Below are 19,944 nucleotides of genomic sequence, written 5' to 3'. Positions count from 1 at the left end.
GTGAGTCACTGTGCCCAGCCTCTTTTCATTTCTCTTTTTGGAAACATTTTTCCTCTTTGTGATAGGTAATACATGTACCAGGTACAAAAATCAAAGGAAACAAAGGCATATACAGTGTAAGGTCCTTTCCTGCCCTCACCCCAGCCACCTACTTCCCCTCCTGGGAAGGGAACCAACTATTGTGCCTGCTTGCCATCCCCAAGCGGTTGCATTCCTGCAAACTCAGGTTCACAGTTCACACCGATGCAGGCGCACGCCACACACTGCCCGTGCCTCGAATTTTCCACTTAGCAGTGTAAGGCGGAGACAGTTCCCAATGAGTCCACTTAGGAGTCCTGAAGGGTTCCAGGGGGGCCTGGAGGCTCCAGAACTACAAGGAGCCCACAGCATGTGCCTTGGGCCGGTGGTGAGGTCAATAGGGCCATGTCAGGCTGCGCCCCCGAGTACCAGCGCGAGAACGTGAGGCTGGCACTGGGGGCCCCGGAAAGGGCTGGCGCTGTGGAATGTGAGCAGTGGCAGGGATGGAGAGGATGTGGGGAAAGCTGGGTGAGTTCAGCTGTTGGCGATTTCACGCCCCCTCCTCAACCACTTCTCAGGGACGGGCCCCAGCCGTGGGGCCCAGGTGCCGACGAAGGTCAAATTTCGATAGCAAGAGAGTAAAAAGGATATTTCCTCCAGAGGGAAGCACTCTCCCCGCAGTGGGAGCTGCAGCTGCCCCACACTCATCCTCCAGGATTAGGCCAAATCCCACAGCAGGCGGAGGGGTGGGGGGTCCCCAGTTAGGGCCCGGGGAATGTGGGAAGGGGTGGGCAGTACGGGGTGGACTGTACACACCTGACTGTGCCTGGACCTGGGAATGGGTCTCCTTCTTCCCTTCATTCAGCAAACACTTTGCTGCACCCCAGTTCTACCAGGCGTTGACCTGGGTGGGGATTTTGCGGGGAGGAGCAAGACTGGTAACAGCTGAACTGGATTGAGGGCCACACAGCATGCGATGGGGGCCGTGCAAGGAGACCCAGGAAATGATGGCGGTTTCTGCTGGGGAGGGAGACAGTGAGAGCAGGGGGTGGGGGGAGTTGCTTTTCAGTGAAAACCTTTCTGTACCATTGGAATTGCTTTTTAATTGTTGAAACTAGGTACATTTATTGACTTCTTTAAAACTGTGGTTCTCGGCCAGGCAAGGTGGCTCATGCCTGTGATCCCAGCACTTTAGGAGGCCGAGGCGGGTGGATCACCTGAGGTCAGGAGTTTGAGACCAGCCTGGCCAACATGGTGAAACCCCATCTCTACTAAAAATACAAAATTTAGCCAGACATGGTGGCACACACCTGTAATCCCAGCTACTTGGGAGGCTGAGGCAGGAGAATCGCTTGAAACCAGGAGGCAGAGGTTTCAGTGAGCTGAGATTGCGCCACTGCACTCCAGCCTGGGCAACAGAGTGAGACTCTGTCTCAAAACAAAACAAAACTAAAGCCGAGGCAGGCAGATTACTTGAGGTCAGGAGTTCGAGACCAGCCTGGCCAACACAGTGGAGCCCTGTCTTTACTAAAAATTCAAAAATTAGCTGGGCGTGGTAGCGCACGCCTGTAATCCCAGCTACTCGGGAGGCTGAGCCGAGAGAATCTGAGACTTTATCTCAAAAAACAAAACTAAACTAAACGATAGTTCTCAAAGTGTGACCCCCACTCCTTCCCCAGATCAGCAGCATCTGGGTAGCAATGCAAATTCCCAGATTCCACCCCAGACCCACTAAATACACAATTCTGGGGGGTAGGGTGTCCAGCATACAAGCCCACTAGATAACTCTGACATCTGCTACATCTTCAGAGCTACTGATTTAAAAAACACAACCAAGCCAGGTGCGGTGGCTCACGCCTGTAATCCCAACACTTTGGGAGGCCGAGGAGGGCAGATCACCTGAGGTTGTGAGTTCGAGACCAGCCTGACCAACGTGGAGAAACCTCGTCTCCCAGGCATGGTGGTGCATGCCTGTAATCCCAGCTACTTGGGAGGCTGACGCAGAAGAATCGCTTGAACCTGGGAGGCGGAGGTTGTAGTGAGCCAAGATCATGCCATTGCACTCCAGCCTGGGTGACAAGAGTGAAACTCCGTCTCAAAAAACAAAAACAAAAACAACAACAAAACACAACCAAAGCAGAACTTGCGTCTTGGTGCTCACAGTCTGGGGGAAGGAGACTATTCAGAGCATCCCTCTACTACAGAGACAGCCGCCAGAGCCTGTGAATGGGGCCCAGCCTGGAAGCCGACCTGGAATGGAGGACCTGAGGAGGCTGCCCAAGAATTGAGGCTTGAGTGACATCTGAAGGGCAAGTGGGTCTCAGCCACGTGGGAGGCGGTAGGAAGTGTGTCCCCGGGAGGTGGTAGGAAGAGTGTCCCCAGGAAGGAGTGGCCCATGGGAGGGGACTGAAGGGGCAGGGACCGAATGCCATGGGGCTGGAGGCAGGAGCACTGAGACAGGCACCTCTGTGCTTGGGTGTGGTGACTGTCCATCCACCCCTGTGTGTGCACATCTCAGTCACAGACATCCCCTGCTTCATGCACACCCAGAGCCTCTCCTGACCCTCAGAACTGCCGGGCTGACTAGGCTGTGGGAGTGGGCTCTTCCGTGGGACAGGCAGCGCACCTGGCCCTGAGCAACAACTTTCTCACTTTCCCCCCCTGTGACCCTGGGCCAGTCACTTCCACCTTCAGAGCCTCAGTGTCCACATCTGGAAAATGGGGCAAGAATGCCTTTGTGGAAGGGCTGCCAGGAGAAGGAAATGAGATCATGGCACCTGCACAGTAATCCACCCCTGGAAGCCATTCCTTCCTGATCTCTGTGCAGCAACAGCTGTTGTTTACAGAGCAGTAGAAACCATGCTCTGAGGTGGGTGTCATCATTCCTATGTGACTGGTTGGAAAAAGGAGGCTCAGAGAGAGTAATTTTGGTCATACAGGTTGAGCATCCCTAATTCAAAAATCTGAAACCTGAAATGGTCCAAAATCTGAAACTTTTTGAGCACTGACATGATGCCACAGTGGAAAATTCCACACCTGACATATTTGCTTTTCGTTTCTTTTCTTTCTTTCTTTCTTTTTTTTTTTTTGAGACGGAGTCTTTCTCTATTGTCCAGGCTGGAGTGCAGTGGAGCAATCATAGCTTACTGCAGCCTCGAACTCCTCGGCTCAAATGATCCTCCCTCAGCCTCCCAAGTAGCTGAGACTACAAGTGTGCACCACCACACCCGGCTACTTTTTTATTTTTTGTGGAGATGGGGTTTTGCCACGTTGTCCAGGCTGGTCTCAAACTCCTGGGCTCAAGTGATCCTCCTGTCTCAGCCTCCCAAAGTGCTAGGATCACAGGCATGAGCCACCGTACCTGGCTTTTTTTTTTTTTTTTGAGACAAGCTCTCACTCTGTCACCCAGGCTGAGTGCAATGGCGCAGTCTTGGCTCAGTGCAACCTCCTGGCTCAATCAATGTTCCTGCCTCAGCCTCCCGAGTAGCTGGAATTACAGGCAACCACCACCATGCTCGGCTAATTTTTGTTTTTGTTTTTGTTTTTTTTTTGAGATGGAGTCTCTCTCTGTCACCCAGGCTGGAGTGCAATGGTGTGATCTCCGCTCACTGCAGCCTCTACCTCCTGGGTTCAAGCAATTCTTCCACCTCAGCCTCCCAAGTAGCTAGGATTACAGGGGCGCGCCACCATGCCCAGCTAATTTTTGTATTTTTAGTAGAGATGGGTTTTCACCATGTTGGCTGGGTTCGTCTCAAACTCCTGACCTCAGGTGATCCACCTGCCTCGGCCTACCAAACTGCTGGGATTACAGGCGTGAGCCACTGTGCCTGGCTGGCCAATTTTTGTATTTTTTTGTAGAGATGGGGGTTTCACCATTTTGCTCAGGCTGGTCTTGAACCCCTGAGCTCAGGTGATTCACCGGCTTTGGCCTCCCAAAGTGCTGGGATTATAGGTGTGAGCCGCCACGCCCGGCCCCCTACTGTGCTGATGGTTCGGTATACACAAACTTTGTTTCATGCTCAAAATTATTTAAAATATTGTATAAAATTACCTTTAGGTTATGTATACAAGGTGTATGTGAAACATAAATTTTGAATTAGAAACATTTTGTATATGAAACATGAATTTTGTGTTTAGATGTAGGTCCTGTTTCTAAGATTACAAACTCTGAAAAATCTGAAATCTGAAACACTTCTGGTCCCAAGCATCTCAAATGGAGGCTACTCAGCCTGCAGCCCCTCCCCTCCACCGTGCGCCTCCCCCTCCCTCCCAGGTGCTGACTCCCCAGCCAGCAGCCTCCATCCCTTGGCTAGGGCTTCCCAAGTCAGAGTCACTGTCTTGATGCCACCAGAACCCTGCCTTATGTACAAAGCCAGCAAGAGGCAGAGTGCAGAGGTGGGCTCAGTGCTTTTTCTTTTCTTTTTTGAGATGGAGTTTCGCTCTTGTTGCCCAGGCTGGAGTGCAGTGGCTCAATCTCGGCTCACTGCAACCTCCGCCTCCCGGATTCAAGTGATTCTTCTGTGTCAGCCTCCCAAGTAGCTGGGATTACAGGCGCCCACCACCACGCCCGGCTAATTTTTGTATTTTTAGTAGAGACAGGGTTTCACCATGTTGGGCAGGCTGGTCTGGAACTCTTGACTTTAGGTGATCCGGCCGGCTCGGCTACCCAAAGGCTGGGATTACAGGCATGAGCCACCTCTCCCGGCCTTCTTTTTTTTTCTTTTGGGACGGAGTCTCCCTCTGTCACCCAGGCTGGAGCACAGTGGTGCAATCTTGGGTCACTGCAACCTCCACTTCCCAGGTTCAAGCGATTCTCCTGCCTCAGCCACCCAAGTAGCTGAGACTACAGGTGCCCGCCACCACGCCCGGCTAATTTTTGTATTTTCAGTAGAGTCAGGGTTTCACCATGTTGGCCAGGCTGGTCTCGAACTCCTGACCTCGGGTGATCCGCCTGCCTCAGCCTCCCAAAGTGTTGAGATTTCAGGGGTGAGCCACTGTGCCTGTCCTCAGTGCTTTCTTTTCTTTCTTTTTTTTTTTTTCTCTTGAGCCGGAGTCTTGCTCTGTCGCCCAGGCTGGAGTGCAGTGGTGCCATCTCCGCTCACTGCAAGCTCCGCCTCCTGGGTTCATGCCATTCTCCTGCCTCAGCCTCCCAAGTAGCTGGGACTACAGGCACCCACCATGCCCGGCTAATTTTTTGTATTTTTAGTAGAGACGGGGTTTCACCATGTTAGCCGGGATGGTCTCGATCTCCTGACCTCGTGATCCATCCACCTCAGCCTCCCAAAGTGCTGGGATTACAGGCGTGAGCCACTGTGCCTGGCCCGGCCTCAGTGCTTTTTCTATGGGCCCCTGTCACAGGCTAGAACCCAGGCAGACCAGGGAGGCCAGGCCCCAGCTGCTGCCATGCTGCCGGGAGCGGGGAGGGGAGGGCAGAGAGCTGGAGCATCAGAGCTCGCATAGGGGAATTAGCAGTATATGTGTCATTCTGACATGGGACATCAGGAATGTGGAATGGCCCCAGGAAGCGTGTGCCTGCCAGGGACGCTGGCAGGGAGGGGGTGCAGGGTGGGCAGCTGAGCCCCTCCCGGCCCCCAGGACCCACCAGGCAGCAGCTGCCCCTGTCACTCTGAGTGACCTGGGTCTGGTCTCCAATGTGCACATGGCCTTCTGGGAACCTGGGGTTCAGCCTAGCTCCTTCCTGGAGCCCCATTCTTGTGACCCTGGACCTCAGTTTCTCCATCGTTAAATGGGAAGAACAATCTTTATTTGGCAAGGCTGTGGCAGGGGAGAGCGTGGTTGGTTGAGCCTGGCACCGCAGCAGGCTCATGGTGGGAAATTGGAAAATGGGGCTGTTGTTCCACATCCCCTTAGAATACTGTCCTCACACACGATTCTAATCTCCCAGTCCTCTCCTTCCCAAGGTCAGGTCCAAGGGATCTGCTTCTCCTGTGATTGGCTGGACAGGCGGACACAGTCAGTGGACAGTGACCCCCCAATGGGAGGCTATACATTGGAGAGAGGGGCTCAGTCAGAATGTCCAGTGGCTTGGGAACCTTGGGAGGCCAAGGTGGGAGGATTGCTTGAGGCCAGGAGTTTGAGACCAGCTTGGACAACATAGCAAAACCCCATCTCTACAAAAACTAAAAAATAATTATCCATGTATGGTGGCATGCACCTGTAGTCCTACACACTTGGCAGGCTGAGGTGGGAGGGTTGCTTGAGCCCAGGAGTTTGAGGCAGCAGAGCCATGACCATGGCATTACTGCACTCCAATCCGGGCAACAGATCAAGACCTTGTCTCAAAAAAAAAAAAAGAAAAAGAAAGAAAGAGAGAGAAAGAAAGAAAGAAGAGAGAGAAAAAGAGAGGGAGAGAGAGAGAGGAAGGAAGGAAGGGAGGGAGGGAGGGAGGGAGGAGAGAGAGAAAGAGAGAAAGGAAGACAGAGAGGGGAGGGAAGGAGCAAAAGGAAAGGAAAGGAAGGAAGGAAAAGAAAGAGAAAAAGAAAGAAAGAGAGAGAGGGAGGGAAGAAGGAAGGAAGGAAGGAAGAAAAGAAGGAAGGAAGGAAGGAAAAAGAAAGTTGGTCAGTCTGGGGGCTTTCGGGAGTTAGTGGGGGTCTTTGAGAGCAGGAGGGAGCATAAACCCAGTCTGCTTTTGGAAGCTACCTCTGGAGCCACCTGCAGGGGAGGGAGCAAAAGGGAGGCTGGATACCTAGGGCTCGGAGGGGGGCACTCAGGGACACAAAAGCCCCAGCACCGGCTCCCAGGGAAGCACCGCAGCCCAACCCATGGGCCTCCGCATCACACCCTCCCCCAAGCCTATGTGCATCTGCACGTGCTTCCTCCTAAACCCTACGCCCCAGGAGGCAGGCGGGACAGGTGCACCCTACTCATGGGCAAAGACAGTATTATCAGAGAGGTGGCAGTGCTGGCCTCAGGAGCCACGCTGGACCGTGGAAGCGCATGAGGGAATAGGGTTGTTTTTTTTTTTTTTTTGCGACAGAGCCTTGCTCCCTAGCCCAGGCTGGCACGATCTCGGTTCACTGCAACCCTCGCCTCCCAGATTCAAATGATTCTCCTGCCTCAGCCTCCTGAGTAGCTGGGACTACAGGTGTGCCCCACTATGCCCGGCTAATTTTTGTATTTTTTAGTAGAGACAGGGTTTTGCCATGTTGTCCAGAATGGTCTCGAATTCTTGACCTCAGGTGATCCGCCCGCCTCGGCCTCCCAAAGTGCTGGGATTACAGGGGTGAGCTGCCGCACCTGGCCTGGAACAGGGTTCTTGAGGGAAGTAGTCAGGTGACTCCCTGGTTCCTGCCCTGGAGGAGGTACAGTTCTGGGGGTAAGATGAGTTCTGTGTGGGATACCGTCAGCTGGAGAGGCTATGCTGAGAGCTGGGAGGAGCCCAGAGTGAGGATAAACAATCATGAGCTGACGCTCAGTCTTCCAAGGAGGCCCCAGCCTCCAATCCCTCTGTCTGACCCCTCTGACCGCATATGCATTTTCAGCCACCACTCCCTGGGGGCAGACGGGGGCAATCCCGATGGCCTCCATGAAGGCTGTCCTGGTTGGGCAGTCCTGTCCCAGCCTGAGGCCTGTAAGGAAAAGGACAGGAGAGTGCCAAGTGCTGGGTCAGACACCATGCCTGGGCCCCCCATGGCCCACTCAAGGCTCAGGGGCTGGGGAGTAGCAGTACGTGCCAGGATGGGGCCAGGGAAGGAGGTTCCAGGCTCAGAGCCTTGAGAAGCTGCTCACTCTGAGGAGCTCTGAGTACAGGGCTGTGACGGCTCCTCAGTGGAAGACCAGGCAGGCAGGGACAGCTGCAGCCCAGGCGGGCGGCAACCAGCTGCTGCCCGGGAGACTGGCCAGGGCGGGGCGGGCATGGCCTCCACAAGCCCCCAGCCTGAGCCGGCAGAGCGTGGGAGCGGGCCGCGGCCTAAGGCTGGCTCTCAGATTTTCATGCTGTGTTAACGGTCAGCTTGGTTAATGCTGAGCAGATGGGGGAGGGGGGCTGCCAGCTCCCTTGGGGACAGCTGCAGGGCACACATGCACACACACACATGTGCAGAGGGTACAGGAGTCCCACCGTGTATAGTGCAATGCGGACTCAGCCCATTAATACTCATTCACACTGTCGCAGACACAAGATGGGGCTGGTGGGACAGGCGGACCCAGATAGGCACACACTGGCTCCTGGGGCAGTGGAGGTGGCGGAGCCCATGGCCTGGTCCAGTGCCCTCAGTCCGTGTCCTGTAGGCAGAACTCTGCTGGAGGGATCCCTCCACCTCACCCCACTCCATGTTGCTCAGGGAAGACCCAGGCACACAGAGCTTTATTTCAAAAAAATAATTTATAAAACGCCATTTGCTCCTGTTTTCGGCAGGCTTCCAGCTTCTCTGGGCTCAGGGGCCAATGCTCCCGTCAAGACGCTGGGGCAGCAGCAGCAGGGGGAGGTGTGGGGAAAGGGGGTTCAGAGGCCCAGAACCTCCTGCTGGTATTGGGAGGCAGGAGGTTTAGCATAGCAGCTCTCCAGCCAGGCTCAGCCAAACCCGGGATGGGGACTAAGCGCCAAGGTCCAAGAAGCCGAGCAGAACCCTGACATTTGGGCCATCAGGACACAGGCACGGCAGCTCCAAGGGCAAGGGCACGGCCCTTGGACACGGCACAGCAACTCTGGGCCAGGGGCCCCATGCTATCAAGGTCGAGCACTGTGTCAGGCTGTGGCTGAGCCCCAAGGCCCAAGGCCACCAGCCTATGTGCCTGCACAGCCTTGAGCCTTGCTCATGTCTGCACCCCAGACCCGAAGGGGAAGGAGCTGGATCCCAATGGCAGGGGGTCGTGGCTGAAGACAGAATCGCTGGAGGAGCAGGTGCTGCTGGCGTCCCCACCAGAGGGGGAATAGGGTCCGAAGGTCAGGCGGAGGTCGAGGTACTGTGGGGAACGGAGCTGGTCAGCCTCTGCAGCGCCCGGGATGGGACGGGGCGCATGTCCACGCGGTCAGGCCAGATGAGGCCTGGAGGGGAGCAGGCAGAGGGAGGTGGTGGGTGGGAGGGGCTGTACCTCCTCAGAGACGGCCAGCAGGACCTTGTCCAGCGCCTCCACCAGCTGCTTGAAGGTAGGCCTCTGGGAGGGCGCTGCGTGCCAGCACTCACGCATCAGCCCGTACCTGCGAGAGGTGGGGCGGAGGGTCACAGGGAGCCTCAGGCCTTCAGGAGGAAGGGGAGGACCGGGGGTTCTCTGGGTGGGGAGGAGTTTGGTGGGGAGTTTGATGAGGGATAGGAGGGTCATCAGTAGAAGCCAGGCCAGGACACTCCACTAGGCTGAGGAGGAGGAAGAGGAGGAGGAGGAAGAGGAGCAGGAGGAGGAGGAGGAAGAGAAGGAGGAGGAAGAGAAGGAGGAGGAAGAGGAGCAGGAGGAGAAGGAGGAAGAGGAGGAGGAGGAAGAGGAGGAGGAGGAAGAGGAGGAGGAGGAAGAGAAGGAGGAGGAAGAGGAGCAGGAGGAGAAGGAGGAAGAGGAGGAGGAGGAAGAGGAGGAGGAGGAAGAGGAGGAGGAAGAGGAGGAGGAGGAAGAGGAGGAGGAGGAAGAGGAAGAGGAGGAGGAGGACGAGGAGTTGTTGTTAGTGTTGTCCTTCTGGCCGGGACACACCCTGAGGCCATGGTCAGGGCAGAGGAGGAGGAGGACTGGAAAGTGGGGTCGAGGGCAGGGTGAGGCCTCACAGCTCTGGGGGGCAGTGTGGGGGTCGGTCCATCCGATGTCCCTCCCGCAGCAGCGAGAACAGCTCCTCCACCGGGATGCCAGGATACGGGGAGCCCCCGAGGGTGAAGATCTCCCATAGCAGGATCCCAAAAGACCACCTGGAGGTAGGGCCAGGGCTCAGTGTGGCTCAGCGCCCTCCCGACGACCGGGGCTAGGACGGGGGACCCCACAGACATGACCCACCACAGCTGTTGGGGAATGGGCTCCTCCTGGAGTCTGGGCCCACTCGGGTCCCAGACCAAATCTGAAGGAGCCCTCGAGCGCATGACTCCTGGGGCCACGTGACTTTGGGCAGTGCCTTGCCCTTTTTGTGGGGTAGGACAGTGACCGCCGGCAGGACTCACACGTCACTCTGGTGTGTGTACACCCGGTCAAACAAGGCCTCGGGCGCCATCCACTTCACAGGCAGGCGGCCCTGGAGGGGAGAGAGGGCCTCAGTGCAGAGTCCCACAGGTCCTCGTGCCTGCCACCCCGGGCCCAGTGCCCCTCCACCCCCATCCAGTTCTGCCCCATCTCCCTCACGTTGCTGGTTTTCTTATAGTAGTCAATGTGGTGGACGCCGCGGGCCAGCCCAAAGTCAGCAATCTTCATCACATTGTCCTCAGTCACCAGCACATTGCGGGCAGCCAGGTCCCGGTGGATACACTGCAGGGAGCGGGGGCTTGGGTGCCTCAGGACACCTGGCCTGGAGTTGAGCACACACCACCCCCCAGCAGGCCCGGGGGCAGGGGCCCTCCACCCACTTTACAGAGGAGGAGGTCAAGGTTTAGAAACGGGGAGTGCCTTCTCCTGCGTCCCCTCTCCCCTCTGGGGAAGGGTGAGGAACGAGTGGGGAATGCAGGAAAGCGTGAATGCCTGGGGACACTGAGGTGGGGTCATGAAAAAGAGCAGAGAGGGAGAAGTCGGGACATTGAATGCCACAGGCCTGAGAGTGGAGCTGGAGAGACTGAGAGGGGCTCAGAGCCCTAGCGCCTGTACCTTCCGGGACTCCAGATACTGCATGCCTCGGGCCACCTGGTAGGCGCAGGAGACCAGGACTGGGAAGGAGAGCGGCCCCTCACTGCTCCGAGGACCGTCGGGGCTGAGGTCGGGGCCTGGGGGGCGCCGGGCCCGCAGGAACTCCCGCAGGTTTCCCTTGGCGGCGCACTCCACGATCACGTACAGGGGCCCTGCAGAGGGAGTGGAGGGAGCGTGGAGAGGCTGCCAAAGCTTTGGCTCTGCACCCTAACGGCCCGTGCAGCCAGCCCCGCCTCGGCCCCACCTTCCTGGGTGCAGACACCAAGCAGGTTGATGATGTTCTTGTGTCGGCCGATCAGCTTCATCACCTCCATCTCCGAGACCAGGTCGGCCAGGTCCTTGTCAGAGGCGTTGTCTGTAAGGGCAGCAGACGGGGTGAAGAGGCTGCCCTCCAACTGCACGAGGGAGCATGCAGAGGCAGGTGCAGGACAAGCAGCACTGGACCAGGGCTACGTAGGTCTAGGGCTGAATCCTTGCTAGGCTGTGTGGCCTTGAAAAAGTCTCCTAGCGTCTCTGAACCTCAGGTTCGTCTTGTGGGAAACAGAGCAGTGGGTCACACCCTGCCTGTCACAGCAGTTGCAAGGATGCAACTGTATCAAGGATCTAAGAGGCAGGCCTTCCAGCGGGCAGGCCCAGGACACAGGAGAGAGGGGAAGAGCTCGGAGCAGGAAGGAAGGAAGGAAGCTGCCGCTGGAGGGGTCAGCGGTAGTCCCCGCATGGGGTCAGAGCTTCTGGGTGCGGAAAGCAGGCTGGCGCCCTGGGGTCTGTTTGACCAGGGCCTGGCTTCCAACTGGCCTGGGAATTCAGGGAGCTGGCGGCAGGCCGGGTGCAGCCGGGGAGCTTGGGAAGAAGGCTGCTTTGGCTTCTCTGGCTGAGCCCCTGGGGCTGACCTGTGGCCCTGGGCCAATGACACAATGTGCATTTCTCAATCCCTGCCTCCCAGGGAGCACCAGGTGGCCCCAGCTGTGTAGAGAGGAGGGGAGGAGCAGAAGAGCAGTGGAGGCCATTCTTGCAGAGGGGGCTGGGGAACTGCAAGGAGAGGCCCTGATGGGTGGGGTGCAGGAGTGCCCAGCAAGAGCACCCCGGGGCTGGGCCTGGGTGCAAGCAGAAGGGCTGTCCTCCTACAGCAGTGGACGTGGGGGGCAGACCTAGGGAGGGTCCAAGGGAGGCTGAGGGTGTGTCTGGGGGGAACCATAAGGAAGGAGGTAGAGGGCCTGTGAGGCTGACAAGGAGATGTGAAGTCAAAGCTGACACAGACTAATGCTGACACAGGATATCAAGCCTGTCACACCAAATTCTTCTCATCATCATCACCCCAGTGGTGAAGATTTATTGAGCCCTGACTATGAGCCAGGCACTTTCCACAATCCTTGGGCTGGGAGTAGGGACTGTTATCTACCCCATATGACACAAGGGAAAACTGAGGCTCAGAAGTCACTTGCCAGGGTCAGGAGCAGAGGTGAATTGCAGGTTTAAGGGTGGGATCCCACAGCCTCTCCCAGCTCCAGGGCTCACCTGGTGGCACCGTGAGCCCCTTCTATTAGTCCCAATGCCATAGCACCTCCTCCAGGCTGCCACGTTCACCTTTTATTTTTATTTATTTATTTATTTTTTCAGATAGGGTCTCACTGTGTTGCCCAGGCTGGAATACAGTGGCGTGATCATGGCTCCCTGCAACCTCCAACTCCTGGATTCAAGGGATCCTCCTGCCTCAGCCTCCCTAGTAACTGAGACTAAAGGCACACACCACCACACCCAACTAATTTTCTTATTTTTTTTTTGTAGAGATGAAGTCTTGCCATGTTGCCCAGGCTGGCCTCGAATTCCTGGATTCAAGCGATCCTCCCACCCTCAGCCTCCTAAAGTGCTGGCGTTACAGGTGTGAGCCACCACACCGGGCCACACTCACCTTTGAGCATCTTGACGGCCACAGTGCTGGCTTGGTCAGGCCGGGCAGGGTCCATGCCAAAGGCCTCTGCACGTACTACCTGGCCAAAGCAGCCCTCGCCTAGGGGCTTCCCAAGCACCAGCCTGGAGATGGAGAAAGTCCAGCCTCAGACCTCCGAGTCACTCCTGCGGAGGGCGGGCTGCAACCCGGCGCCCGCGTCCCTGCCCCCACACAGCTCAGCGCACCTGTCCCGGGGGAACTCCCATAGTGGGTCGAGAGGTAGATCTAGACTCACGAGGCCGGCGAGCAAGGCGGGGCCGCTGGAGGAGAGACGCACGCCTCGTACCAGGGATGAGCTTGACTTGCCGGAAGAGCCTGACTCCAGGGAGAACTGCAAAGTGGGAGACTTGGTTCTGCCTGCTGGAGTCAGGCTGTCACATGTGAGGTGGGGGATGCGCCCAGTACCTGTCGGGCCAGAGGGAAGCGGGAGAGCTTCTGCACAGTGGCGGGCGGGCGGGGGTGCCGGCCGTGGAGCGCCTGCCCTCGATACAGCCCGGCCAGCAGCAGGAGCACAGCCAAGGCCAGGGAGCCCGACGCGTACAGGATGATGTCCGTATACCTGGCCTCGGGCGCTGCTGCGGTCCATGTGGGGTCCTCCTCTGCCCTCGCACATGGACACACACAGACAGACAAACTGGTCAGTGGTGAGACTGGCCGCCCCGTGCACCCTAACTCAGTCCCTCCCAGCTCCCAACATATGTGGGGACACACACGGAGGAAGCTGTAGTTATGCCCAGTCCCAGGCACCCACACCTCAGCAGACGGTCACATGGACGGCCACGTGTGGAGAGGCACAGAGGGGCTGTCATACAGCTCAAACCCACAAATCCACACACTGCCCCCCAGGCCAGACCCCACAGGCCAACAGAGACTGACCACCCAACAGGCCACAGCCCCCACTGCTGGCCCAGAGGGGCATCTCGCAGCATCTCCTGGCCCTTCAGGTGCTCACCTGGCAGCACCGTGAGCCAGGCAGACTGGTAGGAGAGGCCGATGGAATTGCCTGCGAGGCAGGTGTACTCGCCTGCGTCCTCGGCTGACACGTTCCGCAGGTACAGGACCTCCACCTCTGAGCTATTGATGTCTGCAGTCTGGGGTGGGGGACATGCTCTGGGGTCACAGCAGGGCCTGGGGCCACACTGTGGCCAACAGGGAAGCTGGGGAGCCCCCCAACCCAAGGTGGGAGAAGAATGGGGCCCAGGCTGCAGCAGGGTGCACCTTTTACCTTTAGGACTTGCACATAGGGGAAACCGTCGGCTCCGAAGCTGCTGCCGTTGATGACGATGTGCTTCAGCCACTGGATGTGGGGCTGGGCATCGCTGTACACCTTGCACAGCAGCTCCACGTCGCTGCCCACCACGGCTGTGGTGTTGGCCGGGAGCCCGGCCTGCAGGATGGGCCGGTGCGGGGACCGCTCTGGGGACCGGGCGAGACAGTCAACCCTGACCACCGGCACCCATAGAAGCACCCTGTTTGCCTCCCTCCAGCCTTCCTCAAGTTCAAGGGAGGGACCTTTCTGCAGCTTCTTGTCTGTCTCCTGCTTACCCTGCTTAAACCTTCCCTGGCTCCCTATTGCTTCGGGTCAAGGACAACATCTCAGCCTAGCATTCAAAACCCTCCACCACCTGGCTCCCCATATAAACGCCACGCCCTACGAATATGCTGGCCTGCAAGTGCAGGGCGTTTGTTATACTCAGGCCCTCCGCTCGGGCTGCGCCCTCTGCCTGGATGTCCTTCTTGTTTTTCCTCTTGGCAGACCTCTGCTCCTCCAGCCCCACACTAACCCCTGTGCTTTCCCCTGACCCACCTGCTCACCAAGCTGCCTGACTCATCTGAGTCCATCCTGCCTGCCAGACTAGACCCCACCAAGAGGGCACAACTGAGCCCAAAATGGGTCAGGCCTCCCCTGTTCCCAGCCCCGCGCTCACCCAGCACATCTAGCAGGTAGTTATAGCGGATGCTGCCCACAGCGTTCTCTACCAGGCAGGTGTATGTGCCGCGGTCCGAGGGCACCACGCTCTCCATCACGAGACTCCAGTGCTGATGGCGCAGCTGCAGGCAGAGAGAGTGTCCGGGACCACCGGACCATGTCCACCAAGGGGGCCAGAGGACCAGGAGGCTAGATCCTCATCCTGCCCACAGGGCTCTTGTCAAGCTCTCTAGGCCCTGAGAACATCAGGCCCAGGCCAAGGACTATGGCACAAAGGAGTAGGCTCCCCAGGGCGCTTGAGCCTTGGGTTTGAGCCTTTGGAATTTTAGCTCTCCCTCTCCCTAGCTGTGCTACTTTGAGCCAACCCTTGCCTTCTCTGAGACTCAGTTGCCTCATGACAGCATGGAGCCGACCCTGCAGGGTCTCATCAAGACGATGAGATGCTAAGGCTTATGCAGACCAACCAGTCAGTGATTCTTCTCCCTTTACAAATGGAGTTGCTGAGGCTGAGAGGTTAAGTCACTTGCCAGAGAGTAGCAGAAGGGGAACCAGAGCTGCCCAGGTCCACAGTCCAGGGCTCCTTCCGGGGCCCCGCAATCGCTTCACTCATTCGATTGATTTATAGGTATGCTTGTAGGTATGAGGGGACTGATGAAGGAATGAAAATGGGGGAGCAGACGGTCTTGGAACCCAGAGACTCACCCGAATGCCTCCAATGCGGTTCTCCCCATGAAAGGCCTGTCCATCCTTAAGCCAGCGGATGGTGGGCGTGGGGTTGCCTGCAGCTGGACAGCGGAACTTGACGGTGTTCCCCGCAGGTACTGCATGCAGTTTCTTCTCCATGCGCTGGGGGTGTGTCCAGTAGGGTGCTGGAGGGCAGGGGAAGGCCCCTAGAATGACCGTGTGTTCCCACACAGGCCTCCTCTTCTCAGTGATCAGATGAGCAGCAGCGGGGACACAAGTCCTTGGAGACCTACTGACCTTGCTGGGGGTAACTGTGCCTATTCGAGGGGTCCCTATGGGACTTGGGGTCCTCATCATCGTTGCTGGAGGTCAAGGAGTCTACATCAGGGACAGAGGGAAGCATCTAAGGTCCAAGAGGGGCAGGTCTGTCTCCCCAGGCATCCCTTCACTCCCTGCTAGAGTCTCTTACCACCTGTAATCAAGGTGAGATTCTGCAGGACGATCATGGAGCCTCGTGCCAGGCAGAGGTAGCGGCCAGCATCCTCAGGTAGGAAGCTGGCAATCTCTAGGCGGCCCCTCCAGCCCCGTACACGGCCAGCAGGTGCCAGGCGACTGCCCTCCTTGTACCAGTGGCCACCACGCTCAGCCCGCCCACAGCACAGACGCACAGGCTGCCCAAGGGCTACTGTCAGCTCCTGCTCTTGCTGCTCCAGGCTGGGAGCCAGGCAGGGCTCTGTGGGCAGAGGGCAGAGGTCAGCAGACCCCGCAGCCCCATCTGAGGCAGCCTCCTGTGTACAAAGAACACACCGCACATGCAGGGCACAAGCACTTTGCAACGCATGCTGAAGGAGCCACCACTCCTTGACACCCACACAGCCACATGCTGCGGATGCCACACCCAGGGCAAATGCCACACTCTTGGGGCATGTCACACACACAGCATTTAGTGCACACGACAGTGGCCAAGACACACACACACACACACACGCATACACACACACACATACGGACACACACACACACAAGGCACATGCTGTTGGTGCCACATACAGGGTCATGCTGCACCGGGGCATATCACCCTCATAATGCTTATACCACACATGCTGCCTGGACCTCCTAGGTCACACACCCAGTGCACAGAACACACACACACACGCACACACACCCAGGTAAGGAGCTCACCACCAGCTCTGCAGCCCAGCTTAGGGCCCTGCGCCCTGCAAGGCCAGTCCTCTCTCGCAGACACAGTGATAGATGAATGCTTGCTGGAAGCCAGGCACTGACTGAGTCTCAGTGGTTGAGCCCTGCCCTGCCGCCACCTTCTCAGGGCCTGGGCAAGGATCCTTTCCAGCTTTGCTCAGCCCAGCAGCCCCCTCCTGGTGCCCACTCTTCCCACCCCTGCCACCCTCTCCCACCTCAGAAGCCATACCAAGCTCCACTTCCTCAGAGGCCTCCAGGGACAAGACTGGAGGCCCAGGCACACTCAGCAGGACCCCCAACAGGGCCAGCAGCAGCCGCATCTCCTTCTCACAGCTCTCAGGGACCCAAGCTGGACTTCCCACCAACTGCCTTCCTAAAATAGGGAGGGAAAAGAGCTCCTGCTACACGTGCACCTTTGTGGGGGCTTTTCCCTTATTTTGCAGATAAGGAAACTGAGACAGGAAGTGGCCAGCAGATGTGTCCAAGTCCCTGGCCAGGCTGTGGCAGTGCAGACTGGAACCAGCTCTGTAGTAGCCAGAGCCTAAGGCCTCCCCACGGTAGGTTGTGCAAGGGGTCTGGGCTGGGCTTCCTGCTCTCCCTGAGTCCTGCTGGGACCCTGGCACACGTTCACAGAAAGCAGTTTTGGGATTCTTTTTTGGAGGGAAGCAGAGAACGGAGACATATCTTCTGCATGCTCTCGGCACACATAATTTCTTTTTTGCTAAATAAATGAATTGATTGCAGAAGAGCCAAAAAAGAAAGTGAAAAATGACACAAGGTCAAACTTCAGCATCTGGATGGCATCTGATCCGATCCCCACTCCTTACAGCATTACTGACATTTCCAGGGCTGGGTGGTCACAACTGACAAGGCGGCCCCTTCCGTGGCAAGCAGGACCGCGACCCTGGATACCTCTGCTTGTTATGCACCAACTCCATCTGAGGCACACACGGTTTTGTAAAGAATACAGACCCTAATTTTCCATCTGCCAGAGCCAAGTTCAAATCCTGACTCTCACCAACTTGTAATTCCTTGTCTCTGTCTCTCTCTGGCTTACTATCCTCATAGGACTGTTTTGAGGATAAAAGAGAGAACGTGCGTCGGCACGCAGAGTGTTGGAATGTTCTCCTCCCTGTGCCCGGCCCTAGAACGGTTAACCTGTTGCCCTGGGTCTGCCCTTAGCCAGTCACCTCTGGTTCGGATGCTGTTACTGTCAGGCTGTGATGTACACACACCCCAGCTGGCTATCCTCTTCCAAATGCTACCAAGGACGCCTCTGTTCCCCAAAATAGAACACTCAGAACTGAGTCTCAGCTGGGACAAAGGAATCGGTGACCACTGCAGTCCTAGGGGCCTATGGGTGGCACTGGTGTCTCTGGATCTACCCTGCGTGGGAAGCCTATCACACCTCCTCCTCCTTGGTCACTGCCACTCCACTTCCAGTCCATCTGGCTTCCCCTGCCCCTTCTCAAGGCAGGTCATGGCCATCTCTTGCATGGGCCTCTGGAAACATCCTCTCCCTCGGCTCTTCAACCTTCATCTTCCAGCAGAGTTTTAAAAAACTACAAGTCGGCTGGGCGCGATGGTTCACACCTGTAATCCCAGCACTTTGGGAGGCCGAGGTGGGCGGATCACGAGGTCAGGAGATCGAGAACATCCTGGCTAACACGGTGAAACCCCGTCTCTACTAAAAATACAAAAAATTAGCCGGGCGCGGTGGCGGGCGCCTGTAGTCCCAGCTACTCGGGAGGCTGAGGCAGGAGAATGGCGCGAACCCGGGAGGCGGAGCTTGCAGTGAGCCGAGATCGCGCCACTGCACTCCAGCCTGGGCGACAGAGTGAGACTCCGTCTCAAAAAAAACAAAATAAAAAAATAAAATAAAATAAAAAAACAAACAAAAAAACCTGCAAGTCTGCCATGTCATGCCCCCCAGCTTGCAAGCCCTTAATGGCTACCTGTGCCCAGCAGGATCCAGCTCAACATCCTAGGGCTCCCTCTCTGCCGCTGCCTATCTCTTTGGTCACACCGTCTGCCCCTTCAGGAGCGCTGAAGCCATTGGCTTTCAAAACTGGGCACATGTGCTCTCTTGCCCATCCCTCTGTGCCCCTCATTGCTCTTCTCTACCTGACTCAGATACTGCTGTCTCTGGCCCACCTCAACTCTCGAATCCAGTCGGATCCTCCTTGGTAAAACTCCCTACCAAGCTCGGCTTGGCAGGGAGGGCAGCTCTTTGGGTACACAGCTTGGGCTGGGAGTGGGTGGGGAGGCCCGGGGAGTTTATTCCTACCCCAGGCTGCCCTGATATCAGAGTCCTTAGTCGAGTCACCCATGGCTGCTGACCGCTGACCGACCACCCCCCACGTGGGAATGGAGGGCCTGCCTTAGGCATCAGACAGTCCTGGGTTCTCCTTCAGCCTCCCGCACTCGCGCTGGAGGCCCCCGGGCACTAAGTGACTGAACTTTTCGGGGCCTCAGGTCCCTCATCTCTGCCGCCGGCGCGAAGACAGCCGCAGGGACAAGCGCGCTTGTCCTCCCCCACCCTTGCCGGGCCAGCCTGGGGGGAGGTGCGAATCAATGGGTCCCGAGGGTAGCTGCACAGGGCCAGCCTGCCCCCGCCTCGGTGGGCAATGAGTAACCAGCTCCGCGGCCGGGGTGCTCTTTGGACGGAGCGGGACAAAAGGCCCTGTGTGCACTGCGGGTTACTGATTTACCGCCCCCTCCACCCCCTGCCGCCCGGCGGACGCCCAGGTCCCCTGCGCCGGGAGGGGCAGTCCCCGTAGCCCCGCCGCCTCTCGCCCCCTGGCGGCTGGGAGCGCAGCCCGGGCCCACAAGGGTTCCGGCTCACCTCGAGCCTGCGTGACTCCGCGCCCAGCACAGGGTCCTGCTCACCTGGCTCCTCCTCACCTGGCTCCTCCGCCGCCTCACTCCCAGCTCCAGCCGGCCGCGACCCCTGCACGCGGCAGGGTCCGCAGACAGCCCGAGCGCTCCTCGGCCGGGAGCGAGGAATGTACCCGCGACGGCGGCGTGGCCGCGAGCGGCCCACCTCCTGTCCCACCCCGCCCCTCGGGCCCGCCCCCTCCTGCTCGGGCCCGCCCCTCCTTCCACGCCCCCCCCCCCCCCACCCGGGCCCGCCCACCTCCTGCCACACCCCCTCGGGCCCGCCCCGCCTAGACCAGCTCGAGCCGGAGAGAGGTGTGGCCAGGGGTGGCCAAGATCCCCGCCCACCTGGAGAGCCCCGCCCCCGACCCAGTCAGCCCACTCCCGGGACCCCGCCCCAGCCTATACACACACCCCTACACGCAACCCCCCTATACACACCCCATTCAGGCTCCGCCTCTTTCGCCCCACCCAGGCCCCAGGCCAGGCTCCTAAATTCTAGTCTACTACCCAGCTCTAC

General features: G+C 58.0%; 1 protein-coding gene across 5 annotated transcripts, besides 14 other annotated features; it reads right to left on the bottom strand.

Annotated features, from left to right (window-relative positions):
- FGFR4 (fibroblast growth factor receptor 4) lies at positions 8,326 to 19,555 on the bottom strand. Of its 5 annotated transcripts, none has more exons than NM_213647.3 (18): positions 19,393 to 19,555; positions 16,777 to 16,920; positions 15,817 to 16,080; positions 15,645 to 15,725; positions 15,366 to 15,532; positions 14,662 to 14,785; positions 13,959 to 14,149; positions 13,686 to 13,824; positions 13,139 to 13,332; positions 12,919 to 13,064; positions 12,695 to 12,816; positions 11,030 to 11,140; positions 10,747 to 10,937; positions 10,291 to 10,413; positions 10,113 to 10,183; positions 9,729 to 9,866; positions 9,073 to 9,178; positions 8,326 to 8,943 (listed from the first exon to the last, which is right to left on the bottom strand). In NM_213647.3, exons 2-18 carry the CDS (start codon positions 16,865 to 16,867, stop codon positions 8,794 to 8,796), a joined length of 2,409 nt encoding a protein of 802 aa, NP_998812.1. In that variant the 5' UTR covers positions 16,868 to 16,920; positions 19,393 to 19,555; the 3' UTR covers positions 8,326 to 8,793. The 5 variants fall into 5 exon arrangements, with proteins under 5 accessions (NP_998812.1, NP_002002.3, NP_001278909.1 ...); NM_002011.5 differs by having other exon boundaries at positions 19,437 to 19,555; NM_001291980.2 differs by having other exon boundaries at positions 12,969 to 13,064; positions 13,293 to 13,332; positions 19,437 to 19,555.
- Positions 18,895 to 19,495: a DNaseI hypersensitive site, noted in NCBI's record as "HSS III; the nucleotide coordinates are approximate for this feature". NCBI's record gives the evidence for it as "EXISTENCE:in vivo cleavage assay evidence [ECO:0001075][PMID:12447688]".
- Positions 18,895 to 19,944: a biological region, named in NCBI's record as "FGFR4 5' regulatory region". NCBI's record gives its function as "regulatory_interactions: FGFR4".
- Positions 19,039 to 19,489: an enhancer, noted in NCBI's record as "NgoMIV fragment". NCBI's record gives the evidence for it as "EXISTENCE:reporter gene assay evidence [ECO:0000049][PMID:12447688]".
- Positions 19,097 to 19,126: a protein binding site, noted in NCBI's record as "FpC". NCBI's record gives the evidence for it as "EXISTENCE:protein binding evidence [ECO:0000024][PMID:12447688]".
- Positions 19,161 to 19,186: a protein binding site, noted in NCBI's record as "FpB". NCBI's record gives its function as "positive regulation of expression" and the evidence as "EXISTENCE:protein binding evidence [ECO:0000024][PMID:12447688]".
- Positions 19,185 to 19,644: a silencer, noted in NCBI's record as "silent region_16672". NCBI's record gives its function as "represses an Ori minimal core promoter by ATAC-STARR-seq in GM12878 lymphoblastoid cells {active_cell/tissue: GM12878}" and the evidence as "EXISTENCE:reporter gene assay evidence [ECO:0000049][PMID:35858748]".
- Positions 19,230 to 19,264: a protein binding site, noted in NCBI's record as "FpA". NCBI's record gives its function as "positive regulation of expression" and the evidence as "EXISTENCE:protein binding evidence [ECO:0000024][PMID:12447688]".
- Positions 19,431 to 19,457: a protein binding site, noted in NCBI's record as "FpD". NCBI's record gives the evidence for it as "EXISTENCE:protein binding evidence [ECO:0000024][PMID:12447688]".
- Positions 19,455 to 19,674: a promoter, noted in NCBI's record as "-115 to +99 promoter fragment". NCBI's record gives the evidence for it as "EXISTENCE:reporter gene assay evidence [ECO:0000049][PMID:11981041]".
- Positions 19,527 to 19,927: a DNaseI hypersensitive site, noted in NCBI's record as "HSS I-II; the nucleotide coordinates are approximate for this feature". NCBI's record gives the evidence for it as "EXISTENCE:in vivo cleavage assay evidence [ECO:0001075][PMID:12447688]".
- Positions 19,580 to 19,619: a protein binding site, noted in NCBI's record as "fragment C". NCBI's record gives the evidence for it as "EXISTENCE:protein binding evidence [ECO:0000024][PMID:11981041]".
- Positions 19,580 to 19,619: a protein binding site, noted in NCBI's record as "fragment C". NCBI's record gives the evidence for it as "EXISTENCE:protein binding evidence [ECO:0000024][PMID:15467729]".
- Positions 19,610 to 19,649: a protein binding site, noted in NCBI's record as "fragment B". NCBI's record gives the evidence for it as "EXISTENCE:protein binding evidence [ECO:0000024][PMID:15467729]".
- Positions 19,895 to 19,944: a silencer, noted in NCBI's record as "silent region_16671". NCBI's record gives its function as "represses an Ori minimal core promoter by ATAC-STARR-seq in GM12878 lymphoblastoid cells {active_cell/tissue: GM12878}" and the evidence as "EXISTENCE:reporter gene assay evidence [ECO:0000049][PMID:35858748]".

This window comes from Homo sapiens, chromosome 5, assembly GCF_000001405.40.
Source record: "Homo sapiens chromosome 5, GRCh38.p14 Primary Assembly".
Classification (NCBI taxonomy): Eukaryota; Metazoa; Chordata; class Mammalia; order Primates; family Hominidae; genus Homo; species Homo sapiens.
Note: the sequence above shows the minus strand (reverse complement) of the source record. Positions and strands in the feature narration are given on the sequence as shown.

What these genes read in the sequence shown, in the direction of transcription:
- FGFR4 (NM_213647.3), bottom strand. Translation starts at nt 16,867, where the DNA reads ATGCGGCTGCTGCTGGCCCTGTTGGGGGTCCTGCTGAGTGTGCCTGGG. An exon ending in CTGGCTCACGGTGCTGCCAG is followed by an intron (nt 13,333 to 13,685) that starts GTGAGCACCTGA and finishes GTGCGAGGGCAG; the next exon opens with AGGAGGACCCCACATGGACC. An exon ending in AGTATCTGGAGTCCCGGAAG is followed by an intron (nt 10,414 to 10,746) that starts GTACAGGCGCTA and finishes CGCTCCCTGCAG; the next exon opens with TGTATCCACCGGGACCTGGC.